This window comes from Homo sapiens, chromosome 5 (genome assembly GCF_000001405.40).
Source record: "Homo sapiens chromosome 5, GRCh38.p14 Primary Assembly".
NCBI classification, from domain to species: domain Eukaryota; kingdom Metazoa; phylum Chordata; class Mammalia; order Primates; family Hominidae; genus Homo; species Homo sapiens.
Window position 1 is genome coordinate 29791957 of NC_000005.10, and position 22791 is coordinate 29814747.

At 33.5% G+C, this 22791-nt stretch overlaps 1 long non-coding RNA gene across 2 annotated transcripts, besides 1 other annotated feature; it reads left to right on the plus strand.

The window, feature by feature from the left end:
• The first annotated feature begins 1773 nt into the window (after nucleotides 1-1773).
• On the plus strand, nucleotides 1774-22432 carry LOC105374703 (uncharacterized). Of its 2 annotated transcripts, none has more exons than XR_925886.2 (4): nucleotides 1774-1827; nucleotides 18721-18823; nucleotides 20060-20230; nucleotides 21779-22432. It is a non-coding gene; the product is annotated as an uncharacterized LOC105374703 (long non-coding RNA). The 2 variants fall into 2 exon arrangements; XR_925887.3 differs by lacking the exon at nucleotides 1774-1827 and adding an exon at nucleotides 16462-16597.
• Nucleotides 3217-4416: an enhancer, noted in NCBI's record as "MED14-independent group 3 enhancer chr5:29795280-29796479 (GRCh37/hg19 assembly coordinates)". NCBI's record gives its function as "activates an origin of replication core promoter dependent on BRD2, BRD4, P300/CBP and CDK7 cofactors, and independent of MED14, by STARR-seq in HCT116 cells {active_cell/tissue: HCT116}" and the evidence as "EXISTENCE:reporter gene assay evidence [ECO:0000049][PMID:35650434]".
• Nucleotides 22433-22791: the final 359 nt, after the last annotated feature.

Below are 22791 nucleotides of genomic sequence, written 5' to 3' on the forward strand. Positions count from 1 at the left end.
TGGGCATAGGGATTGAATAGACATTTCTTAAAGGAAAATATACAAAGGTCAACAAGTCTATTTTAAAAATTGTCAACATCACTAATCATCAGATAAAAGCAAATTAAATTCACAATGAGATATCACCATGAATCTGTTTGAGTGGCTGTTATGAAAAACACAAAAGATAAATTTTGGTAAGAAGGTGGAGAAAAGGAAAACAGTGCACACTGTAGAAGGATATGGAGATTAATACTTCTGTTATAGAAAACAATATGAGGATTCCTCAGAAAATCATAAAAAGAACAACCATAAAATCCTGCAATCCCACTGCTGGATATACATCAAAGGAAATAAAAGCATTATATAAAAGAAATATTTGCACTCTCATGTTTATTGCAGCCTTATTTACAACAGCCAAGATATGGACTAAACCTAAGTATGTATCCATAGATGAACGGACAAAGAAAATGTGGGTCATATACACAATTCAATCCTATTACATACTATTCAACCAAGGAAAAGAAGGAAATTATGTCATTTACAGTATGGGCAAACCTGGAGAACACTATGGTAAGTGAAATAAGCCAGGCAAAGAAAGAGAACTACTTCATAAGTGAGATCTCATATGTGAAATTTTAAAATGTTGATCTCATAAAATAAATGACTATAGTTATTAATATACTGTATTCTTGGTAATGCTAAAACAGTGAATATTAAGTGTTCTTACCAGGAAAATAATAGCTATGTGAGGTAATGCATGTGTTAGTTATCTAGATCTAATCATTCTGCAATGTATGTATATTTCAGAGCTCATTATGTACACAGTAAGTACATACACTTTTATCTGACAATTAAAAAAACATTTAATATCAAGCAATAACTGTATGGTTTAAGTAACATACTTGCATAAGATGAATTGTGTTTGTAGTTATTAAATAACTTGCTTTAAAAATATTCAGTAAAATGGAAAATATTCTTGATACAATGTTATATCAGAATAATAGTTTACTGGATGTAATTTCAATAAAGAGCAGAGATGTAATATCAATATCCTAATAATTTTATATATGATATTCTAAATTTTATGTTACACAATGTAGATAAGAACAAATATCACTACAAATAGACTGATTTTCAGTTAAATATGGTGAAACAAAGTTGTTACTTCTGTCCTGTTCTTAGCAACTCAGTGCCAATAACGAAAGTAAAACAAAGTGAAAAACGTCTATCTTTAATAAAAAAGAAAATATTTTATTGCTTAATAGAATGATATTTTATTAGAATAAGGAAATATGACCAAATTAAGGCAGAATTATGGAATCAAAAAGCAACAATACTTAATTTTTACTGGTTACTTGCATTTGCATTCATATCATGAACAATACTCGATAAAATAATACAAAGTTCTAAAAATAGATGACTAACTCTGTGATTTCTGAATTGAAGTTTGGAAAAAGGAGGAAGGTTGTCCCAAGAGACAGGGTGAGTGCTAAAACTACACATGTCTACTGAACCAAATTGTATCAATAAGGTTGTCTCCCCAAAAATTTTTTGCATGGCAATCAAGTGAGGGCAAATCAATATCTCTATAGGAATGGTGAATACATAATGGAGAATCTAGAATATATAACACATGATGGTATTCGGAAAAAGTTATAAATTCAGAAACACATATATGGGGTGGGAAAATGTCTCTCAATCTTCTTATCAAATGAAAAGCAAGATCCAAAACCATAAAATGAGTAAGAGCCTACTGTTCGTTTAAAGTGTACTTATTAAAATGTGCATAGCAGAATGTTAACAGACGCTGCCTTTAGGGAGAGATAAAAAGCATAATGACATTAGGTAAGATAAAGGAAAATTTTTCTGTTTCATTTAATTGTTACATTTATACCTATTTGAATACTTTACATTTCACAAATTTTATATATATGTAAATGAACATAAATTAAATATTTAAACAACAGCAAAACATACGTTTTTCGTTTTTATCTTGTTTTGTTGAATGTTACATGCCTAGAACATTTTAGTATATTTATTGACTTTTAGTTACCTGTTTGAACTGCTAATTCCGGCCTTTGTCCACTGTAAGATTTATTCTATTAGTTTTAAGAAATTCCTCCACCCTATATTTATTATTTTACATTGCAAATGTTACTTCTCCATTTAGATATTTGTCTTTACTGTTGAAGTTTTTGATATTTAATCAAATCTCTCATTATATCTGCTTTTATTGTGCAGCTCAGAGTTTCAATTGTCTTCTAGATTATTTTAGTAATGTAATGCTCTTTACACTTGTCCATTTGTTATGGAGTGAATGTCTCCATAAAATTCATGCTGAAATCTTATCTCCTATGTGATGATAATAGGAAGTGGCATCGTTGGAGGTAATTAAGATTAGATGAAGTCTAATGAGCATGAAATTAGTGCTCTTGTAAGGGTTGGGAGAGAGCTTGCTTCTTTTGCTTTCTGCTATGTGAGAATACAATGCAGTTTGCACATGAAATGCAGTCTGTCGTCTTCACATGTAAGAAAGCCCTTCCTAATACCTGACCATACTGACACCCTGATCTCAGACTTCTAGCTTCCAGAACCGTGAGAAATAAATTTGTGTTATGTCTAAGCTGCCCAGTCTGTGGGAATTTCTTTTTATTTATTTATTTATTTATTTATTTATTTATTTTATTTTTTATTATACTTTAAGTTTTAGGGTACATGTGCACAATGTGCAGGTTAGTTACATATGTATACATGTGACATACTGGTGCGCTGCACCCACTAAGACGTCATCTAGCATTAGGTATATCTCCCAATGCTATCCCTCCCCCCTCCCCCCACCCCACAACAGTCCCCAGAGTGGAATTTCTCAGAGCATCCAAAACTGACTAAGACACCATATGAAATTAATTTGGATTTGTATTTCAGGATCTATATAAGAAGATCAGCCATCTTCTAATTAAATGTACACTTTTTAATCATCATATTATGATATTTATATCCTCTTGAAATCATAGAAAAAAGCATAATACTGTGGTTTGACAGAGAAAACATGTGTCTTAAAGGGAATATTCTGCCATCAAAGAGTAGGTCCTTAGTGAGGACACAGAAACTGAACAGAAGATGTTAACTTGCTGGGTAAAAGGAAACTCATGTCTACTTTCTGGTCTTTAACCAGTATTCTTAATAATGCCAAATACTTAAGACAATTCACTTATTGTATTAGGTAATGGGATGTAGTCAATAATTTTACTACCCACTTGCTGGTTCCATGAAGATTAGCTGCTGCTTTGGAAAAGTGTAAATATCTACTTAAAAACAGTCTGAATATCTGTGGTTAATCATATCTTTCTTATCATCGTCTTTTCATGAATCTTCAGTATCATTAGTTGGAACCTTGAATTGCTTTATTCTTCTTCAATTCATTTTCATTTACTCATTTGGAAGAAGAATTTTTTCCCGGTTTTTTGCATTGTTTTCTTCAGAGGGAATGTTTGGTATTTGGCAGCTTCACTATGACTTGCATTTTTAATAGCAGTTGAAGGAAGCTACATCTACAACCAGAAGAATCACTCATATGTTGCTTTATCAATTAAAAAAATCCTTATAATTTGCAAAAATGACCAGGATATATATGGGGGATGATTTATTAATTTTGTTTGATGACTCAGAAAGTTTTAATTCTCCTTACAGATGAAAAAAATATTTTTATTCAATATTTTATCAGTTCTGACTTTTTAATGAAGTTGCAATTTTATATAAATTGAATTTTATTTTACATTTTTCTGTCTCTTTATTTTTCTCTACTCATAACTAGTTTTTATACTTTTCTTCTGAATTCTAAGCACATTTACAGAGTATACCTTTCATTGTCTTGATTTTCTGAGGAATATAACTTGTGGATTTTTACGATTATAATAATTATAAATTTGATAATTATATTTTTAGTCAGGGATATATATTTTCTTTCTAATCTCTAGAATAAGCAGGTGAATTAAGAGTAATGATAACCTGTTCCGACAGCAGCTGGGTCCTCGGTTTCTGTACTGGCCAGGCCACAGCTGAGGCAGCCTGTGTCCAGAGGCACTTGCCTAAGGGAAGGAGGGCTCATCTGGCAGTTGAAAAGCCTGTACCCACTTCATCATGCTCCATGGAGTGGATATCAAATTGCTGAATGCCTTCCTGAAGTTGCACCAGGCAGAACAGGAGAGACCCAAGTTTATTGCCTGGCCCTATCTCCATATCCTGCTCAAGCCTTTTCCCCGGGGAGCTGGTAACCATACTTTATCTCATTCTTTCATGTGCTTCCACTTCTGACCTGCTATGAAGTTGAATAAAGATAACCTGGACCACCAGACACTGCAGATGGTGACTCTGCATATCTACCAGTAACCAGCAATATGCGCAGGACCTTAAGCTCTTCTTTTTGCTTGTATAAAATAAGGGCAAGCATACTGATCTCACTTCCCCTTGCCTGGGAAAAGAGATGGCTTAAATAAGTAACTTCATTAGAACCAGAGAGGGGCAAGGCTGGGGATGAGGGTTTGGGGTGGGGAAGAATTAATGGTTAAGAGGAAAACTTAGTCTTGGGTTTCACACTTACTAGTAAGGAATCAGCCACAACAACATATGTTTTTGTGATCTCTGTTTTCTATACAAATCAGGCTAAGATTATTTCTATTAGTAAAAAGTGACAGACATATTTGACTACTGATTAAATTAGTATATTTTATTAGATTAAAATAAAGCTTTGCTGAAGGGAGAATATAATTACATGGGGTATAAGATGGCTTTCATTTTGTGGGAAAATAGTTTTATTTTAAGTTACTTTTTTTTCCTTTCAACCATTCTTTCCCTCTATCTTTTGGAAATTTTTCAGCCAGTCTGGATTACTAAATAAAAATGTTCAATATTCAATATATGAGCAGCAAACACGATTCTTTTTTTTTTTTTACCTTTTCATATTGTTTTAGGCTATCAAGCCTCTTTTGTTAAGTAATGCAGAATTCCTTAAAAAAAAAAAGCTCATATACATAAAGCTAAAGTGACTTCATGGATATCTTATAAAAACTGGAAAACATAAATTTCCATTTTTTGCTTTTATCTGATCTGTTTTTAAGCTCACATATATAAGTAATATAAAAAAGAATGTAGAACATGGGTTATGTGACATAAGTATCATTTCAGAAAATTAATGGCAGACACTCAAACACATTAGAAATGTTGGATTTTTTCAAATGTTGTTTATTTATGACAGGAATTTTCAGTGTATTTATACAATTTTTAAAAATTTGTCATTTTAGTTTCACCAACCTACTAATTTTCATCTTGACTCGTAGTACATAATAAAATACATTTTTACTGTTATAGAATATTGCTAATTAATAGAAGAACTGAAAACATCCATTTAATATTTCCCAATCCAATTCAAAGAAACTAAGTCAATAATTATAAAATATATTTACAATTTATTATAAAATCAGTCAATTAATTGACTATAGCAAACAAAGAAAGCATGCAATGGTCCTAAAGGGTAGAATGAATATCCCATTTTATTTTATTTTATTTTATTTTATTTTATTTATTTTTTTATTACACTTTAAGTTGTAGGGTACATGTGCACAACGTGCAGCTTTGTTATATATGTATACATATGACATGGTGGTGTGCTGCACCCATTAACTCGTCATTTAACATTAGGTATATCTCCTAATGCTATCCGTCCCCCCTCCCCCCACCCCACAACAGGCCCCAGTGTGTGATGTTCCCCTTCCTGTGTCCATGTGTTCTCATTGTTCAATTCCCACCTATGAGTGAGAACACACGGTGTTTGGTTTTTTGTTTTTGCGATAGTTTGCCGAGAATGATGGTTTCCAGCTTCATCCATGGCCCTACAAAGGACATGAACTCATCCTTTTTTATGGCTGCATAGTATTCCATGGTATATATGTGCCACATTTTCTTAATCCAGTCTATCATCGTGGACATTTGGTTTGGTTCCAAGTCTTTGCTATTGTGAATAGTGCCACAATAAACATAAGTGTGCATGTGTCTTTATAGCAGCATGATTTATAATCCTTTGGGTATATACCCAGTAATGGGATGGCTGGGTCAAATGGTATTTCTAGTTCTAGATCCCTGAGGAATCACCACACTGACTTCCACAATGGTTGAACTAGTTTACAGTCTCACCAACAATGTAAAATTGTTCCTATTTCTCCACATCCTCTCCAGCACCTGTTGTTTCCTGACTTTTTAATGATCATTATTCTAACTGGTGTGAGATGGTATATCATTGTGATTTTGATTTGCATTTCTCTGATGGCCAGTGATGATGAGCATTTTTTCATGTGTCTTTTGGCTGCATAAATGTCTCCTTTTGAGAAGTGTCTGTTCATATCCTTTGCCCACTTGTTGACAGGGTTGTTTGTTTTTTTTCTTGTAAATTTGTTTGAGTTCATTGTAGATTCTGGATATTAGCCCTTTGTCAGACGAGTAGGTTGCAAAAATTTTCTCCCATTCTGTAGGTTGCCTGTTCACTCTGATGGTACTTTCTTTTGTTGTGCAGAAGCTCTTTAGTTTAATTAGATCCCATTTGTCAATTTTGGCTTTTGTTGCCATTGCTTTTAGTGTTTTAGACATGAAGTCCTTGCCCATGCCTATGTCCTGAATGGTATTGCCTAGGTTTTTTTATAGGGTTTTTATGGTTTTTTGGTCTAACATTTAAGTCTTTAATCCATCTTGAATTAATTTTTGTATAAGGTGTAAGGAAGGGATCCAGTTTCAGCTTTCTACATATGGCTAGCCAGTTTTCCCAACACCATTTATTAAATAGGGAATCCTTTCCCCATTTCTTCTTTTTGTCAGATTTGTCAAAGATCAGATAGTTGTAGATATGCAGCATTATTTCTGAGGGCTCTGTTCTGTTCCATTGGTCTATATCTCTGTTTTAGTACCAGTACCATGCTGTTTTGGTTATTGTAGCCTTGTAGTATAGTTTGAAGTCAAGTAGCGTGATGCCTCCAGCTTTGTTCTTTTGGCTTAGGATTGACTTGGCAATGCGGGCTCTTTTTTGGTTCCATATGAACTTTAAAGTATTTTTTTCCAATTCTGTGAAGAAAGTCATTAGTAGCTTGATGGGGATGGCATTGAATCTATAAATTACCTTGGGCAATATGGCCATTTTCATGATATTGATTCTTCGTGCCCATGAGCATGGAATGCTCTTCCATTTGTTTGTATCCTCTTTTATTTCATTGAGAAGTGGTTTGTAGTTCTCCTTGAAGAGGTCCTTCACATCCCTTGTAAGTTGGATTCCTAGGTATTTTATTCTCTTTGAAGCAATTGTGAATGGGAGTTCACTCATGATTTGGCTCTCTGTTTGTCTGCTATTGGTGTATAAGAATGCTTGTGATTTTTGCACATTGATTTTGTATCCTGAGACTTTGCTGAAGTTGCCTATCAGCTTAAGGAGATTTTGGGCTGAGACGATGAGGTTTTCTAGATATACAATCATGTCATCTGCAAACAGGGACAATTTGGCTTCCTCTTTTCTTAACTGAATACCCTTTATTTCCTTCTCCTGCCTGATTGCCTTGGCCAGAACTTCCAATGCTATGTTGAATAGGAGTGGTGAGAGAAGGCATCCCTATCTTGTGCCAGTTTTCAAAGGGAATGCTTCCAGTTTTTGCCCATTCATTATGATATTGGCTGTGGGTATATTGATGGGGCGTATCTCAAAATAATAAGAATATCCCATTTTAGAACCACCACTCCTTCCAGGACAGAAAACAGCTTTCTTTATCCCAGGCCAAAGTATTAAAATATTAAATTGTCCAAAGTATTAAAATTGGACAATGATTTAATTGTGCTGAGTTGCTTCCAAGGCCTTTATCAATATTTCAAGGTTTCTGGACTTCAAGTGAACTTAGGTTTTGACCACCACTGTAGTCTTACAAGCGCAAGCCAGCTGTGTGTGTGTGTGTGTTGTGTGTGTGTGTATGTGTTGTGTATTTGTGTTTGTTTAACCATTCCATCCTCCTCTGGAATAACTTAATCATCATGGAAGAGCAACCACGTTTTTTTACCTCCTCTAGGTCCATTTCAGAGGAAGGTATAGAATCAAACATGCAACTAATCTCAAACTCATGTTTTCACTTTTCTTTCAGCAAAGTGCTGACTTTAATTGTAATTAGATAATCTGTTTCCTTTTATATAGTGTGAAAAAAAATTTATTGCACAAAACACATACATATATGGCTATGATACATACTATATATAATATTTATATAACACATCTATAAATATGTTATGTATACTAAATATAATATAACATGATATAATATACTGTGATATAGTACATACAATTGCAGGTTCAGTGAGCTATTGCTTGCCTCACAAAAAGCTACGCAGTCATATAATCAAAACTATATGTGTTTGCGGACCAACTTCTGGAATGTCAGAGTAAAGACTTTTGAAAATCTTCTATTCCTTCAGAAGCAATGAGAACACTGGCAGAAAAAGTCCAAATGAACATTTTTTAACTCTGAAAGTCAGTTAAAGATTTACAAACAATCCGAAGAGTGTTTATTCAAGAAAAATGACTGAATCTCAGTATGAACAGTGAACCTTGTGGTATCTTGGCCTGCCCTGATCCCCTTCCCCTCTATCTAACACTTTGGCAGCCTTGAAAACCAATAGGCTCACAATAGCATAGCTGCAAAATTCAGCAACCTAACAGCTATGGAAGGCAGAGCAGAGGTTTGGAGTTCCCTAACCCCCCATTTCAAGTTTGACCAGACTAGGGGCTGGCTGAAATATTTAATTCTTAGCATTTTACTTCATTTCACCTGACTTTGGGCTCTCTGTGTGAGAGCAGCTTAGCTCCAGGAAATTTGTCAAAAGTAACCAGCAGCAATTGCACAACACTGCTGTTATTTGAGGTGGCACTACCAGTTAAAGTAAACAAAAAGATAACCAAAAAATAGACCCTGAGGATTACGTATCCATTGGAGGCTTTACAATATTTCACCAAATTCCAGGGAATCTAGGCTCCGTGTTCATGCATAGGGCTGCACAGATGCCGCAAAGAGACCTGAGACCTTAGAGAGCACTGATTTCTAACCTCTGCCTGACCTTGAGTCCCTACACAAGCAGGAAATGAAGCCCACGACACACTTGTAAACTACCGCAAAGATCACTGATAGTGTACACTGATACATACAAAGAGCCTATTGGCCAAATCTCAGAAACTTGTTGGTTCAAGATGTTTAAGGATATCTCTCTCCAGTAAGACTACCCAAGTAGAGACTCATGTGGATACACACAACAAAGAATAAAGACTTTACAGAATTAGTCCAGAAAAGTTTATTCATAAAACAACAACACCAAACAACAGCAAAGAGTGACAACAACAACAAAATTAGAGGAAGGGAAAATATGATTTTTTAAAACTAAGAAATCAATAGAAAAAAATCAGTGAGTAAAAAAAGTGGTTCTTTGAAATTAGTAAGATAATTGAAAAGCTGATAAAAGAATAAAAATAGAGAAGACACATTTCCTGTATCAGAAATGAAATACAATTATCAGTAGTAAGCCCATTGAATTTAAAAGGACAATAGCAGATTACATATAACTTTATGACAAAAACATGATAACTTTGATGAAACATACCAGTATCTTGAAAGACACAACCTACCAAAACTCACACAAGAGAAATAGATCACCTAAATAGGCCCATATATATGAAAGAAATTGAAGCAATAATTAACTTTCCACAAGAGAAAATGCCAAGCTCATATTTTTTTTTTTTTTTTTACTGGTGAACTTTACCAAACGTTTAATAAAGAAATGATTGCAATTCTATTTCATATCTTCCAGAAAATAGAAGTAGAAAAGCAATTCCTAAATCAGTGTATGAGGCCAGTATTACCCTAATACCAAAACTGGATAAAGATATTATGAGAAAATAAAACTACAGACCAGGATTTCTCATAAGTAAATACAAAAATTCTACATGAAATTATAGTGCATCAAATCCAACAATATATAAAATGCCTCATATACCATGATCAAGTGGGATTTATCTTAGGTGTTCATGGCTGGCTCAGTATTTTTAAATCAATGTAATCCATCACATCAAAAGGCCTAAGAAGAAAAATTACATGTTCATATCAATTAATGCAGAAAAGGCATTTGAAACAAAATGCAGACACATCCATTCATGATTAAGAACAACTGTCATCAAATTAACAATAGAGAGGATTTTCCATAACTTCATAAGAAACATAGATGAAACAACTTCAGAGCTAATGTTATGTTTAGTATTGGGAAATTAGATGTTTTCTCCTAAGATGAGAAACAAAACAAATATGTCTCTTCTTACCACTCCCATTCAATATTATACTCAAGTTCTGGCTAATGCAAAAAACACAAGAAACAAACAAAAGTCATAAGGATTGGGAAAGAAGAAAAATAAAATCTATCTTTGTTCATAAATATATATGATTTTTTTATGGAGATAATTTCACATAACTGACAAAAAATGAAACAAAACAAAAATCTCATAAAACTAAAATAGATTATAGCCACCTAGCAGGATAAAAGGTTAATACACAAAAGTCAATTGCATTGAAAAACTGGATTTGAAATTTAAAATATAGTACCGTTTACATGAGCACCAAATAAAAATGAAGTATGTAGAAATAAACCTAAGAAAATAGGTTTAAGGTCTACATGAGAGAAAATTACAGAACTCTGATGAATGAAATGTAAAATATCTAAATAAATAGAGAGATGTTCCATGTTTATGGTAGGAAAACTCAATTTTCAAGATGTCAATTTCTCCCTAATTTATCTATAGACTCAAGGCAATCTCATTCAAAGTCTAGCAAGTTATTTTTCAGATATTAACAAACATTTTCTGGTGTTTATGTGGAAAGGAAAAGACCCAGAACAGGTAATACAATACCGAAAAATAAGAATAAAGTCAGAACTGATACTACCCAACTTCAAGACTTAATATAAAAGTAAAAATCCAAGTACTGTAATATGAATGAAAAATATAAACATACCAAAGGAACAGAAAAAGTAGCCCAGAAATTGACCCACACCAATGTAGTCAACTAATCTTTGACAAAAGAGCAAAGGGAAGTCCTTTCAACAAATGGTGCTGGAACAACTGTACATTCAAATGCCAAAAATTTAATCTAGACATTGACTTTATACCTTTCACAAAAGTTTGCTCCAGATGGATTATAGACCTAAAAGTGAAACATGAAATGATAAAATGAGTAAAAGATGACATAGGTGAAAGTGAATGACCTTGGAATTGGTGATGACTCCTTAGAACCTATCTGAAAGGTGCAATGCATGAAAATGAATTAGAATTAAGAATATTTGCTCGTGAAATGCACTATGAACATGAAAAGACAAGCCACAGACTGGGAGAAAATATTTGTTAAATATATATTCAATGAAGTTATTTTGACTGAAAATGTCAAAAAACTCAACAATACGGAAAAAAAATAAAACATTGGGATGATCTGGGAAAACACACCCTTCAAAGAAGATGTGTAGAGGACAAATAGCCTATAAAGAGATGCTCAAATTTGTATGTTGTTAATGAAATGCAAATTAAAACAAGAGTGAGATGCCACTACAGACCTATTAGAATGGCTAAAACCCAAAGAAACCAATATTACCAATACTGGCAAAGATGTGGAACAACAGGAACACTCATTTATTTATTGCTTGTGGGAATTCAAAATAGTGCAGGCACATCAGAAGTCAATTTGGCCTTTCTTACAAAGCTACACATAGTCTTACCATATGATTCAGCAATTGTACTCCTAAATATTTACCCAAATAAGTTGTAATCTCATGTAAACACAAAAGTCTGCACATAAAATATTCATGTCAGTGTTACTGATAATTGCCAACAAGTGGAAGCAACCAACATTTTCTTCAAATGGTAGAAGGATAAACAATTTTAGTACATTGGTGCAATAGAATATTATTTAATGACAGAAAGAAATGAGTTATCAGGCCATGAAAAGGCACAAATAACACAAAATGCATATTACTAGACAAAATAAGACAGTATGAAAAGCCTACATATTACACGATTAATACTGAATGCCGTGATGCAAAATGCAAAATTATGGAGACAATAAAAAGATCAGTAGTTGCCACAGATTGAGTGGGTGAAATAGGAGGGATAAACAAGTAAAGCCCAAGGAACATTTAGGGCAGTAAAACTATTATTTGTAATACTCTAATGATGGATGTACAATATTATATATTTCTTAAAATCCATAAAAGGTACTATACAGTGAAGTACCTACGGTGAATTATTTATTTCAGTTAATTATAATGCATCAATATTGGATCCTCAGCTGTAACAAATATACCCCACAAATGCTAGATGCTTGTAATAGGGAAGTTGTGGCGAGGAGAAAGGGTATGTGAGAACTCTCTGTACTATATACTCAATCTTCTCTAAATATAAATCTGTTCTAAAAAGTTTATAAGGGAACACTGTGAGCGTTGTATTTAAACAAATTAGATAACATATGAAATTGGCAAATTTCCAGATAAACGAACTACTGAAACTGCCTAAAGACGAAATAGAAAACGTGAATACACATATAACATGTAAGGAAATTGAGTTAGTGATTTAAAAAAATTAACAAAGAAACATCTAGGCTGAGAATGCTTCACATGTAATTTTATCAAATGTTTACAGAGAAATTAATATCAACTTTTCACTAGCTCTTCCATATTAGAGAAGTATAATAGACATTTCACAATCTATTCTATGAGGCCAGTATTAACCTGAGGATAAAACCAATTTTTTTAAAGGCATCACAGTTAAATTTGCAAATATATACAAAAATTATTAACAAAATACCAGTAAATATTGTCCAACAATATACATAAGGATAATACAATACGACAAACTGGAATTTAACCTAGGAATACAAGATTGATTTAACATGTGACTATGATTATAATAATCATATTAATAAAAGACAAAAAAGTCATCATCCTAGTAGATGAAGAAAAATGCATTTGACAGAATCGAGCACTCATTCAAAAAAATAAAAACGTAACAAAGTAGGAATGGAAGTGAACTACTTCATTCTAATAAAGGCTACATATGAAAAACCCAAAGGTAATGTTATATTTACAGTGAAAAATATAATGCTTTCCCCCTAACACCAGGAATAAGACAGGATGTCTACTCCCATTTATTTTCTTTAACATTGAAGGTTCTAGCAAGGAAAATAGGGGGAAAAAAAGGAAAAGGTATTCTAATTTAAAGAAAAGAAATAAAATATCTCCGTTTCTAGAGGTTTCATTTTATGTAGAGAGACTTATAAGGAATCCACAGAAAAACTATGTAATCTAATGAATTATTACAACAAAAATTACAATGTAGTAGATATATTTCTATACCCAAGCAATGAAAAGTCCTTACAGGAAATGTGTGAAACAATCCCACTTACAACAGAATACAAAAGAATAGTTGGGATAAATTTAACAAGACTTGTGGACTGAAAACTTTAAAACTTTGTAATATAATCTGACTAAAAATTTAAAATGAAATGATATCTCATTTTCCCGAAGGAAGGTTTAGAAGACCTGATATAGATACACTAAATTGATATACAAAATTGCTGTATATGTTCAGTGTAAGCCTTACCAAAAATCCAAGTGGATTGTTTTTTGCAAAAATCCAAAAATAAATATTGAAAAATAATATATCCATTATAATATAAAAATGATTTTTAAAAAGAAAAAAATTGGATAAATTACACTTCCCAATTTAAAACTTACTACAAAAGTAGAGTAATCAAGACTACGAGATACTGGTATAAGCAGACATAAAGACACAATGAGTAAAATTGAGAGCCAGTGATGATTAACTTTATGTGTCAACTTGACTGAAACATGATGTGCACATTTGACCAAACATTCCGAATATGTCTGTGAGGGTGTTTTTGGATGAGATTAATATTTGAAGTGGTAGACTAAATAAAGCAGATTGCTTCCCTAATGTGGGTGGGCCTTATCCAATCAGTTGAAGGCCTGACTAGAACGAAAAGGGCGAACCTCCTGCTAGTAAAGGGGAACTTACTGCCTTTGACCTAAGATGTTTTTTCTTGCTTTTGGACTCAAAATTTCAGCTCCTTCTGGGTCTTGATCCTGCCATCATTTGGACTGGAACTTCACCTGGGCTCTCTTGTTTCTCAGGCCTTCAGACTTCAACAAGAAATACACCATTGGTTATTCTGAGCCTCTAGCTTGCCAATTGTAAATCTCAGGATGTTTCAGCTTCCATAATCATATAAATCAATTCCATGTAATAATCCCTTTATATTGGACTTCATCAAAACTAAACATTTTGTGCTTTAAAGAATACCATCTAGAAAATAAAAATACAAGCCACATAGTGGCAGAAATTATTTATGTGTCATAAATCTGATAAGAAACTCATGCCCACGATACATAAAGAACTCTTACAACACAACAATAAAAAGGCAGAACATTGAAATAAATTTGAGCCAATGATTTGAATAGACAATTCTCCAAAGAAGATAGGTAAGTAGCAATTAGCATATGAAAATACATTTAATATTATTCATCTTTAGGGCAATGCAAAAAATTGATGAAATCACTGCATACATACTAGAATGGCTACATTCAAAAAGTAAAAAAAGTGTTTACAAGGATGTGAAAGAAGTGGAATTTTCATTTATCGACAGTAGGAATGTAAAATGGCGCAGACATTTTGAAAAGTTTAGAAGCTCCTCAGTAGCTAAGTGTAGCATTACCGTAAGACCCAGCAATTCCTCATCTAGATATGTATCCAAAATAACTTAAGACACATTTCCAGGAATTTGTACAAAAATGTTTATGGCAGCATTATTCATAACACCCAAAAAGTGAAACAGTCCCAGTGTCTATCAACTGATAAAGGATAAACACAATGTAGCTTATCAATACCATGTAATATTAGTCATGAAAAGGAATGGTGTTCTCATATGGAACGTAAAATGGTTGACCTTTGAAAACAATATACTAAGTGAAAGAAGTCAGACACAAAAGCACACACATTCTATAAATCTATTTATATAAAATTGCCAGAATAAGCAAATCCATCTAGACAGAAAGCACATAAACGGTGCTTGAGGGAGGGAGGTTGGTGAGTGACAGCTGATGGATATGGGTTTTATTTTGAGGTTATAGAAATGCTCTCCTTCATTTTTGGAGGAGACCACCAAGTGTGTGTCATAATCTAGAAGGTGAATCAGACAATGCTGTCACACATTTCAGGAAATGATGGCTTGGAAATACAAATGTGGACCTAGAACATAATAGCCTATCAATAGGTATTAGTTGAAGTAATAAATAGAATAAGCACAATACTCTGGGGACAAGAGCAGCTAATGCTCTCTGATAATTTCACCAAAGACATCATGAAAGAAAAAACTTTGAGGCAGCTTGAAGGATGCATGGGAATCTGTCCGCAAGAGGAGATGTGTGTACCAAATTCTGCAGTCAAAGAACATAGGGCCTCCCAGGTGATAGGGAGCAGGGCAATGAGGCCAGGAACAGAAGTAATGGCCACTTTTTCCTTCCTTCCTTCCTTTCAGTTTGTGCCCGGTGCAGATTCAGGGTTTTACAGTCCTTGGGATGTTCTGTTTGGGAAATTTGCCATTATACTTGTTTTTGTAATATAATTGTCCTCCCACTGTGAAATATACAAGGCTTCAAGTGCTCCATCTGAACATTCTCTCTGTGCTAGACAGAAATGTGGGATATTCTATATTTTAGGAATCCATTCTCATATTCCGGGGTTTTATGTAGGTATGAGCATTGTTTACTACCAACGTCTGATCTGATTTTCAGGCCTGTGATTTAACAGTTATTATATATTTTTAAAATCACAAGCAAAGGTACACATTTTTATGTGAAAATTTGGTTATATATAAAGAAAGTATCCACTTGATATTATCTTTTTTAAAAAAAAGTTTTACCCTTATTAAGTTTTTTCCCTTTATTTGGACTCAATAAACATTTCAAAAATCTGGGTAATTTTCAAAGAAAAAAATACATGTATCGTCCCATTCATTTTGTACGTAAACTTTTCTTTTTGTTTGTTTCCTTTCATGACTTGTTTGAACACCAACCTTCTGTCACTGAACCATAACAAATCAGGTGAATTTTAAAAATTTCTGAATATATATTTATCAGTAAACTTCATTTTTTAGTTTTAAAAATTAAACTCTTTAGATTTATATGAAATTATAAAGATAGTACAGAACATTCCCATCTACTTCATACCCAGTAAGCCCTATCATTAACATCATAAATTAGCATTTGTCACAGTGAATGAACCTATATTGATACATAATTATTAAGTAATTATAAAGTGCATAATTTGTTCAGATTTGCTTAATTTTTACCTAATAAATATTTTTTTCTTCTAGGAACTCATTGAGAATATCACATTGCATTGAGAGTTCTGTCACCTTAGGCTCCTCTTGACTGAGACAGATTCTCATACTTTCATTGATTTTTGATAACCTTGAAAGTTTTGAGAACAGTTCAGGTATTTTGTGGAATGTCACTTGATTGAGAGTTGCCTGATATTTTTCTAATTATTAGATTGGAGTTACAGGTTTTTGGAAGAAATATTAAGGGGTACAGTGATATTTTTGTTACATAATATCATGGGCACACACTATCAACATAACTTATCATTGTTAATGTTGACCTTGACCATCTGGCTGAGGTAGTGTTTGTCAGGTTTTCCACTGAAATGTTTTTTATTTTATTTCCACCTGCCACCCGTTTTCCATACTACTTTCATTGGATTAAATAATGCACTAAATAACTGCACAACCCACATTTAAGGGGGTTAATGAGACTCGTGCTCCACCTCCTTGAGGATGAAGTATGTGCTTAAATTATTTGCTGTTCTGCAGTTATGTATACCAATATGGACTCACTGATATTCATTTTCTCCTTTCTGTTATAATCTCACACTATTTTAATTATTTTGATGCTCAAATTGTTCCAGCTTTGGCCATTGGGAGCTCTTTGAGTTGTTTCTTCTGTCCCCTTGACATACCCCCCTCATTTTTTATGTATGTGTGTTTTATTTGATCATATTTGGTTTTCATTTTCTTCATTTCCTTATTTTCTGGAACTCAAGCTGATCCAAGCTCATATGTTATATTTTCTCCCCTGGTCCCAGAATCAGCGACTTCTCCAAGGAACCCTGGTTCCTGGTATCTTTAATTCTAATTCATTAGCGCATTGGTCAATCTATGCTTCCTTCCTTTGCTTATCTGTAAACTGTCACTCCAACAGTAAAAAAAATCTGTCTGTATTTTTACTCCTCAAAAGCAATACATATAAAGTTTGTGGAACACAAATATATCAAAAATAAAATTACTGGAAATCTTTCAATAAACAATATGCCAAACCACTCTCTTCATATTTAAACATTTAAATTTTCAGTGTCCTGGGGTGACACTATCACTATAATAGTCTACGGGAAATTTTTCCTATATGATCGCATTCTTTTCTTTTAAAAATATAAACCACGACATGAAAGCTAAACAATTTGCTACCAATAGGGAGAAAAAATAAGCATACCATCTCTGCTTGCCCTCTTCAACACTTCTACATTTCCATAATATTTATAACTACCATAAATTTGAATGAATTTAACATTCAGGGCGTCTTGCTAAGGACGATAACACAGGTTCTATCCTATAATACATAGAGCCATTATTTAAATAGTTATTATTATTTGACTCATTTCACTCAGGAAGTTCTTGAGTTTTGTGCAGGTAAATGCATTGCTCATTTCACAGTTAGTAAGTAACTGAGAACTGAGTGAAGGAGAGCAAGAAACTAGTTTTGTAAGCCCTCCTCCCGCATTTTAGTCCACTGTTTACCACCAATACATTTGGAAACTACAATTGAATTGTTGTTCCTGATTATTTTAGCCATACATATTAAGTAGGACATGCCTACCTAATAAAATACAATAATTATACGTACAATTATTATATGTACATTTTATGGTTTATAGATATATTTTAATACATTGAATACCGATACACTTCTCTTAACGACATTAGTTAGTCCCAAACGGGGAACTCAAATTAAAGGAAGTATTAATTTATGTGGCTCCATGTTAGAATAAATTTGTATGAGGGCAGAGAGTTTGTTTTATTCAGTATTCTCTTCCCAAATCCTGGAAAAGTGTCTGACACATACATATAATGTTGAGAATTGCTAAATATTGGTAGGGAGGAGGAAACTTAGTATAAAGTAATTTTAAAATATAATGCCACCAGCTTTGTTCCTATTTGTGTAAATGAATAAAAATCATGGCATCAAAATACTGCTTTCATGAAGCTCAAATTTCAGAAACCCATGATCGTTTCCTCTCATTTCTCTGAGGATCTTTTCAATGTATTCATTTTTAATGATATTTTAATGGAATTGGTTGATCTCAATAAAGTACAGTTTTAATAATTATGTGGAGCTCTTAATGTGCTGGCTACTCCATTTGGTAGTTGCGCACATCTTTATAGGAATGAGTATTTAACAGATACTTCAATGTCTGATAGAAGAAATTAAACGAAATGTGTGATACGACATCATTTACAAAGTTCTTTTAAGCCCTGAAATTTGTTTCCATTTGGTTTTACTCAGCTAGGAAAGTTAATTTTCAGTTCTTACTGAAGTGCTGTATGAAACTGAAATTTCCAAGGAACTGAATTTTGTGAGCCAAATGAGCATGCAATTCTTGTTTAAGGTAAGTAGAAATGTGGGATACAACACACACACACACACACACACACACACACACAGAAACACACACACACAATTAAAATAGTGAAAGAGTGCAGGGCATCTATTACAGGCTCTGTATCTTAATGGAAACATGACAAATGTAATAGCAATTTCTACAGGAAGTGCTGTTATATGCTGAGTTGTGTCTCTTCAAAATTTCATATGTTAAAGCCCTAACCCCCAATGTGTCTGTATTTGGAGACAGGGCCTTTAACGAGATAATTAAGATGACATAATATCATAACAGTGGGGCTTTAATATAATAGGAATGGTGTCTTCATAAGAAGAGGGAGAGAAACCATGAGTGTGCACACACAGAAAAAAGGTCACATAAAGACATACTGAAAAGGAAGCCTTCTGCAAACCAAAAAGAGAGGCCTCAGGAGAAACCAAACCTTCTTACACGTTGGTTACAACTTTAAGCCTCCAGAACAATGAGAAAATAAATGTCTTTTATATAAGAAACCTAGCCTTGGCAGCCCTCGCTTAGTGATACAAGTGCCTAAACGTCAAACGTACAAGCAATAAAGTTCCCTAAGCAAAACTGGTTGGGTGTTAACGTATGTAGAAAGATGTTTTAAATGCTTAATAGTTTTTGTTAGTTTTAGAGTTTCGTGTGTGTGTGTTCTTGAAAGTATAGCTTAGGAAGATACAGATACACATATAGATGTAAATATTTAGATAGGTATCGCTATCTATCTCTCTCTCTCTCTCTCTCTCTCTCATCATACCACATAACTTAAAACCAGTAGTATGTTGGTTTTTTTTTTTTTACCTTTTTTTACCTAACAATGAGTAGAAGTTACTTTATAGAGGTTATATAAGTGAGCCAAAGATAGTCCCTGTGTATCAGCCACTATGTTGTTTATCTCTTCACAGCAGAAAAGGACTGTTAGCTAAAAATCCTGCCAGTACCAAACTAAACTTTTTACACAATCAATCACTTTAAATATAGCCCATATGAGCATGTGATTAGCCATGTAGAGCCTGCCTGCTTGGCACAACCTGAGAAATTGTACCCAACATCTGCTGGCCATAAATAAAATAAACTCTGGGGACACTCTTGATCCCAAGATTTGCCCTTAGAGCTCATGACCCAGAAACTCTCCATCTTGTTGCTGAGTGACAGCACCTAGATACTGGGGTCTCCTCTCTGATTTTCTTCTTCCACAGAAAACCTCTTTCTTTCCCCTTCCAGATGGTGGCCTTATGCTGTTGTCTCTGGAAGATCTCCGGCTGTGAGGAAGTCCCTCTAACTTACAACCTGCTCAAGTGCCTCCTAGATAAAGCGCACTGTGTACTCCTGACATCTTGTGGTTACATCTTTTCCTTGATCAGTCCAGAAATTCTCAAACTCACTTTAATCACTGTAAGTACTTACTTAAATATAGGCTTGTAATCAATCTTAGAAATATTCAGACATACAAATTTTATAGAAACCAAATATTAATTGGAAGTGGAAATTTTATTTAATAACCAAGTATTGATTGTAAGTACAGATGTCTCCATGCTGGGATGAATAAATAAGTTAATATATGTAAAACACTTAACAAAAATGCTTGGATCATAGTAAGTCCTTAATATTATTAAGCAATTATTGATATTCTATGTGATCTAGATTGAAAAGTTTTAATCTAGTTCATTCATCATTTTTTTGCTTTGTCAGCTTTTTATAATCATTTCATAATGTATTCACCAAACATATTTTGAGTATCTTCTTTGTGCCAGTTTATGACATAGTAGGGCTTTTCCACATTCACTCCTTATAATTTAAATAGAGTGTTTCACATGGAACTTCCCTGTTATAGAAAGATAATTTCCTGTCCAAAGCAGTAAATTCAAATTTTAAATCATTTATGAGACTGTTCTATAATCACTGAAAAAAAAAGATGACATATGTATATAGACACATAGGTAATTATAGATAGATAAATAGATAAAATTATATTAAATTTATTAAAGTTATAAGACAAGAGATGATGATTCTAGGGCCAGTAATGAGTGCCGCCTTTGTTTTTCTTCTGTTGTATTTCTTTTTCTGGTCATGTTCATCATTTCCTTTTAATTTGAGGTTCCTAGCATCATGAATAAATTGGCTGAAAACTTTAACACTTTTAATCAAAGTTTGCCTGTTATGTCAATTTATCTAACATGTGTATACGAAAAATATCAAAACCAGGATGTATAAGTGTGTCCATATGTTAAGCCCCTTTGAAAATCAGAGGTAATATGAAAGAAACTGGATTATAAATTGTATCATCACCTTGTGTTCAGGAATGTGTTAAATTTTATCTTAAATAACATACACATATTAATTAATTTTTCTTTGTTTTGTTTTGTTTTGTTTTGTTTGGAGACAGAGTATCTCCTCTGTCGCCCAGGCTAGAGTACGGTGGCATGATCTTGGCTCACTGCAACCTCTGTCTCCTGGGTTCAAGCGATTCTCCTGCCTCAGCCTCCTGAGTAGCTGGGATTACAGGAATGCACCACCAGGCCCTGCTATTTTTTTAATTTTTAGTAGAGACAAGGTTGGCCAGGCTGGTCTCGAACTCTTGACCTCAGGTGATCCACCCTCCTCGGCCTCCCAAAGTGCTAGGATTATAGGCATGAGCCACCGCTCCCGGCTACGTATTGAAATTAATAAACAGATACTTTGCTGAGAAAAAAAAATGCAGTCTATCTACTTCAATTAAACTATGACATTCTGGACATTTTTTGACTCTCCCTAAACAGACATACACTGAGTCACATTTGCTATCTTTGAAATTTGTGAAACATCAGTGTCTCAAACAGATGTTAAGGCTTTTTGAAAGATGTCACATACATTCATCTCAGGGACAAATTTTCCTAAAATGGGATTAGAAACAATATATCACAACTGTGGAGGAGCTTTACTGGGGTGTTGTCTATGCTTAAGTTGCAGATCCTCTTAATACTCAAAAATCTACACTTACTGTGGCTGACAGTTTCAAGCAGATGTGTTCATCGCAGTAGTGCAAGAAAAGAAAAGTAGAAGAACCCTGCAGAGATTTGATGGAACCCAGCTTCTATTCATTAAAACCAATGGCAAAATATAAAGCAAATAGGAGGTGACGAAGGTTACAAAGATACGTATTGTTTATGTTTTCCCTGGGGTGTGCTGATTGTCAGGCATCAGTTCCCTGTGCCATTCATTCCCCAACACAGCATGCATCAGAAATTTTATCAATAAATGCTTTCTCTCTCAATGTTCAACCTATGCTGATAGACCATTAAATACAGTTTTTGGGTTCACAGCTTGTCATCATCATTTGTCTATACCTGTGGCAAAGAATATCTAATAAGATACTCTCAGCATTTTGCACACTTAAACTAAGATGCTGAATGCTGTATTTTACGGAATAATCAGCCACATTAAATTTGGAGACTCAACAAGCATGCTGTGAACATTCAACATTAGGTTTAAATTTTATTTTTAAAAGTTAATAATAAAAGGATATATGTTAAGTATTATGAAACCCTGCATATATTGTAATAAAATGGTGGATGTGAATGGACAATATATGCAATAAAATTTATAATTTGATTCTGATTTCTTTGTTTTAGAATTTGTCTATGTTTATGGATTTAATAATTAGCTTAGGATTTTTCTATCTGTATAAAGTTAAATTAAATACAGCTATAACAAATGTATTATGTCTTAAAATTACAAAGAGTATTCTCAATAGACAGAGGGAAGGGAAATGACTTTTACTCAACTTTTACTCATATGCATATAAAAATGGCTCTATTTTGGCACACCTTGGTATTACAATTCGCATTGTGAAATGTGCATTGTAGAATATGTCATGGGTGAAATTGGTAACATCAGCAAAATAGTGGACTGCGAGACTCTAATTCTCCTTACCCCCTAAAGAAACAATTATTTCACTATTTACTGACTACTCGCAA